This window comes from Homo sapiens, chromosome 1, assembly GCF_000001405.40.
Source record: "Homo sapiens chromosome 1, GRCh38.p14 Primary Assembly".
Lineage (NCBI taxonomy): Eukaryota > Metazoa > Chordata > Mammalia > Primates > Hominidae > Homo > Homo sapiens.
Genome location: NC_000001.11, coordinates 31,611,903 through 31,617,604, shown reverse-complemented (window position 1 = coordinate 31,617,604; position 5,702 = coordinate 31,611,903). Strand labels below are relative to the sequence as shown.

The 5,702-nt window shown below is 52.4% G+C and overlaps 1 annotated feature.

Annotated features, from left to right (window-relative positions):
- Window positions 2,226–3,012: an enhancer, noted in NCBI's record as "H3K4me1 hESC enhancer chr1:32080194-32080980 (GRCh37/hg19 assembly coordinates)". NCBI's record gives its function as "activates a minimal SCP1, AML or CMV promoter by ChIP-STARR-seq in primed H9 embryonic stem cells {active_cell/tissue: H9 hESC(primed)}" and the evidence as "EXISTENCE:reporter gene assay evidence [ECO:0000049][PMID:30033119]".

The window sequence follows — 5,702 nt, the reverse complement described above, 5'->3', positions numbered from 1 at the left end:
GGTCTTGGCTCCCTGTCTTCCAGCCCCGAGACCCGCAGGGCGGAGGGAGACGCTCGTTCCTTCTAGCCTCCCACTTCAAGCTTCCATCCCACCTCCATTCATGCGTCCATCCGTTCATTCATTCCATCCTCATTCATTCAACATTTATGCCCCTGGCCACCCCGCATTCTGGGCGCACTTAGTGTGTGCCGGCGGGCCTGGCAGCTTCAGAGGGCCACAGTGCAGAGGTGGAGCCCAGCCCCGCCTCTCCTTGCTGCCTCACCTAACTGAGGAGGAGGATGGCACAGGTGGGTCACAGGGGTGAGACAGAGAGGATGCCTGCACCGCCTCCAGCCTAGCTCCGGATGCTGCTGTAACAGCTAGCTCCCAACGATGCCAGAGAAGCCTGTTCTCCCATCTCCCAGCCCCCCATCCTATCTGCCCCCAGTTTCTCTTTTTGTTATACCTACTGTTCCCCCCAAAAATCAAGGACGCCGGTGGGGACAGAAGTGGGGGTTCGTTAATTCCACAAATAACGATTTATTAAGCTGTGTGCTAGGCAGTGAGTTCTAATAATACAGCTACCGTTTGGATAATGCATATGATGCCTGCTCTCATTTAATCTTCATATCAACCTGGTGAGGTGGTCGTTATTGTCCCCATTTTACAGATAAGGACACTGGATCCACATGGCGCAATGACTTGCCCAAGGTCGCACAGCAGAGGCAGAGCTGGGCTTTGAGCCTCTGCCCCTCTCAGGCCTCTAGCCTCTCTCACCAGACACAGTCTCCCTCCCCTGCAAAATCTCTCTGGCTGGTGGGGGAGGCAGGTGCACACCCAGGCAATTAACCTGTGGTGTGAGGAGGGTGTGAGGGCCCTGGGGGCTGTGGGGCACAGGAGGACAGACCGACTCAGCCAGGGCATGAGAACAGGCTTCCTGGAGCAGGGACATCTCCATGGAGACCTGAAGAATAAGAAGGTAGCCTGCAAGGGGGATTGTGGTATTCGAGGAGAGGCATTCAAGGTCAGGAAACAGCAGGTGCAAAGGTTTGAAGGTTGGGGATTCTGGAAATCACAGGTAGGTGAAGGGTGACTGCCTGAGCATCATGCAGTCACCTTGGCCATCCCCTAGCTCAGCATAGGACATTCCTAACATGTCACCCTCTGAAACTCACACTGTTTCCCTCCTGGGAGGTGACTCCTGGGATGCAACCACCATCTTTCCCATTGCAGCCAAAGCCCTTTTCAAAGGCTCTGAAGATGCGCCGTTAGGCATAGGAGGTGTGGGAGAGGAACTGGAGCAGCATAAGGGAGGGGGCCAGTGACCTTAACCTCTGCAGAACAGGAGGATGGACTGAAGCTAAACCCAAGGCAGAACTTTGTCCTTGGGCAGGTATGGCATCTGCATGGTGTGTGATGTCTTGTCTTCCCTAGGTGCTGGCCGAGGTAGGAGAATGAGTGAAGGGACTCAGAAGAGGGGCTGCTGTGTGTGTGTGTGTGTGTGTGCGTGTGTGCATGTGTGAATGTGTGGGTGTGTGCATGTCTGCATATGTGTGCATGAGTGTGTGTTTGTGTTTGAGTCTTGAATTCAAGTAAGGGCTGTGGTGTGTGTCTAGGGAATCCAGTGTGTTTGAGTCTGACTGTGCATATGAGCAGGGGGTGGGCTCTGGGTTGATGACTGGAGGTCACTCTGGGTGGGATGTGTCTGTCTGGGTCTTGATCTGTCCCTGTGTTTTGGCGTTTGTGTCTATGGGGAATGTGTATGTGTGAGGAGATGACTGTTTCTCAGTGTGGATCTGAATGTTCAACTGTGGCTTTGACTAGCACTGGCCTCCCAGCGTGTTTCCCTGTGAGTGTGGGAATGTGAGTGTGGCCATGCCTTTGTGTGTAAGGTTCTGTGAGTGTGCATATGTGGAACTTGGTACATCTGTTCCCACGGCAATGACTCATCTTATCCCCCCACATTCTCCCCCCTACCTGGAGCTGTGATTGTTTGCTATGTAGGGGCTGCAGAGGGGGCTGCAGCATGTAGGGGGATGGGAGGCAGATCGTGTGGGGACACTCCAATAACAGTTGCGGCAAACAAGGTTCAGCCCGCAGTGTGGAAGGTACAGATCCATGTTTGTCTGTGTGGGCGGTAGGCACTGGCCAAGCCCAGCACAGCCCAGGCTTAGAACCTAGCCCAGAGTGCAGATCTCCATATTACAGGGCCTCCCAGATACCATGGGTTGGAGTGGGCAAGGGGCTCGCCAGGCTCCCCCATGTCATGATACAGGGTGGTGCATGTCTGTGTAGGGAGGAAATCATGGCTGAGAATTCCCCCCAGTATACAATGTCACAGAGTCAGTCCCATCTCCACTTAAGAGGGATCTCAATTGCCAACCTTCCCCCACCCTTTATCCGTTGGTGCCCCAAAGATGGCTGCTCCCCAGGTCAAGGGATATCCTAAGAGATTCCTGCCATCACAAGCAACAGATCTCCCTGTCTCCCCTATCAGACGCTGGCCAGGGATTTTCAAGCCAGCAGCAGGAGCCAGGGCGCTGGCCTGGAGGCACTAGGCCTCGCAGCCCCTCTGGTCCTGAATCTGGCCTATTTAGCCACAGCCTAAGGGTGGGAGAGGCCAGTTATTTGGCCTAGATGGGCATGAGAGAGAGTGGGTGTATGCTCAGAGAAAATCCTGGGGGCGGGGCGGTGGGAACCAGTAGTGTTCTAGAAGACCTACAAGAAGCTGCAGGATTTTGGTCCTCGGGCACAACAGCACTGGCTCTGGGAACCCTGGCCAAATGCCCATGTCCAAGGGAGGGCCCTAGGGACCTCAGGTCCTCCATGTCCAGGCTGGGCTCCCAGCCCTTGTGCCTCCTCTGCCCAGGGAGGGCTGGCCTCAGGGCTTTGCTGTGCTTGAGCTGTCTGTCAACAGGGGCCCCCACGACCTCTTTCCCGAAACCAGCCAGCCCCAGCCTTGTTGATCTAATCCTGAGCCTCTGAGCCACAGGTCCCTGTCATATCCATCTTCAAGTGTCACCCTAGGCACTGGCCCCAGGTGCTACCTCCTCCTCCTTCCCGATCCTGCTGTGACTTACAGTAACCTCTGTCTGGCTAGGACTAGAGTAATTGGAATGTAATTGGGTTTCCTCTTGCTAATGCCGCTACAGACCTGGGCACGTGGATAGGAAAACTCTGGGGAAGGCAGAGGTGCTTTGTAGAAGAGCAGAGATCAGGCAGCAGGCCGAGGTGTGGGGTGGGTGAGGGGAGGCCAGCAGAGATGGGCTGTGCTTTTGGAAAGGGGGATTCTGAGGGCGGAGCCTAGGAGGCCACTGAGCGGCTGTGGTGTTTTTGTCTTTGGGCCAACAGCAGTGGCCTCTGGGAGCTCATGCCCAGGGAGGGACCCAGAGACCTCCTGTTCCCCATATCCAGGTCCTCAGCCTTTGTGCCTCTTCTCCTCTGGATGGGCCCCCTCCTTCAGGGTCTGGGTGGCTTGAAGGAGACAGGCAGCCGCTAGGAGAGGAGGAGCACAGGACCCAGAGTCAGGCATTCTCTGTGACTCCCAAAGCTGAGATCATTTTCCTCTTTGGTTTTGTTTTTTGAGACAGTCTTGCTCTGTTGCCCAAGCTGGAGTGCAATGGCACGATCATGACTCACTGCAACCTCCACTTCCTGGGCTCAAGTGATTCTCCTGCTTTGGCCTCCCAAAGTGCTGGGATTACAGGTGTGAGCCACCACTCCTGGCCTAGAGAGCATCTTCAAGCCAGTGGCAGGAGCCAGGAAGAAGGGGCTGGAGCTGGCAGCCTTCTGTCTGTCCACTTACCCGTATACTCACTCAACAAACAAACTCGGAGGCTGGGTAGGCTGCAGAGACGGAGACTCTCCTGGTTAGGCTAGGGAGACCCTCATGGAGACGAGTGGATAGGGGTGGTGTGAAATGCATCAGGATGGAGCCTGTGGAGGCAGGGTGGGGGCAGAATGGGACAGCACCAACAACAAGGCACAGAAACCACAGAAAACACATCTCCTCCCACCTGCCCCCACCCCGCCCCTGGTGTTGAGGAGAGGTCAGGAGCCAGGCTTTGGGGTCAGGAAGACAGGGATTAGACTGCCACTCTGCTGCTTACTACTGGGTGATCTTGGGCTGGTCACTTCCTTCATCTCTGTGATAGGCTAAAATGGCCCCCAAAGATGTCCACGTCCTAACCCCCAGAACATGTGGCTATGTTCCATGGCAAAAGGGGCTTTGCAGATGTGGCTAAATTAAGGGTCCTGGCACAGACAGACATAATCATACACATGCACATATTTAAAAATAATTTAACATTTTAAGAAGTCCAAGTGGTCATCATTTGTCAGACATCGTGACACTTAAGTGGCATTTGGTATTGTTTTTAGCCATGTATTGGTGCTGGGGGCTGCAAAAGATCTAAACCCTAAAATAATAAATAATATTAGTAATAAACAATGGCCATAGTAAATGTGTGCTGGTATGATTATTTTGACACAGGGACACACAAGTGGGGGAAGGAAAGAGGAGGGGCCTGTTCTTCCTGGGAAGTGTGTGTGTGTGTGTGTGTGTGTGTGTGTGTGTGTGTGTGTGGTGGGAAAGGTGGGGAGCTGGGGTTTCAAACTATAACCTGGATCACCAGACATTTAAGGAAAATATTTAGCAGGGCAGAGAAAGACCAAGATAAACAGAAAAAATTTCCAGAGGCAATTTGGGCTAGGTATTGAGGGGTGAACAGGAGCTCACAGCTAGCCTTTGAATGAGACATGCTAGGCAGGAGTGGGAGAGGAAGAAGGGGCAGTATTCCGGGTAGAGGGGACAGCATGAGCACAGGCATGGGGTGGACATGGTGAAAGGCCTGCTGCAAGCTAGTATGCCACAAATACTAGTTTGGCCTGAGAGTGTACCCATGAAGAGGAGCAATGAGAAACAAAAAGATGGGTGAAACGCTGGCCTCCAGGGCAGGCTGAGGTGCTTGAACTCAATCTATCCCAAAGATGATGGGAGGGTTTAACCCAGGTGCGACACAGACAGGTCGGCAGTTTTGTCCTGCAACTTAAGCAGATTTGAAATTAATAACACATTTTCCTTGTAAAATATTCAAACCATTCAGAATAAATGAAAAGCATTATTTTTATTTCTGTGGATTACTATTGACTCCTTATTTGAATATAGTGACTGTAACAAAGAGCCCCACCAAATGACAGTGGCTTTGAAAGTTGAAAGTGTTTTTCTTGGCTGGGCGAGGTGTCTCACACCTGTAATCCCAGCACTCTGGGAGGCCAAGGCGGGTGGATCACTTGAAGTCAGGAGTTTGAGACCAGCCTGGTGTCAACATGGTGAAACTAAAAGTACAAAAATAAAAAAATTCTACTAAAGTTTTCCACTAAAAAAATTTCTACTAAAAATACAAAAATTAGCTGGGCGTGGTGGTTTGTGCCTGTAAGCCCAGCTACTCGGGAGGCTGAAGCAGGAGAATCGCTTGAACCCAGGGAACGGAGGTGCAGTGAGCCGAGATCATGCCACTGCACTCCAGCTGGGCGACAGAATGAGACTTGGTCTCAAAAAAAAAAAAAAAAAAGGTGTATTTCTCTCTCCAGGGCTGGTCAGGCAACTCCAATGTCATCAGAAAGCCAGAATTCTGCCAGGATAGAAGAGTATCATGGTTACATGAACAGATTCTAGGACCATATTGTATGGGTTTAAACCATGGATCTGCCACTTACCAGCT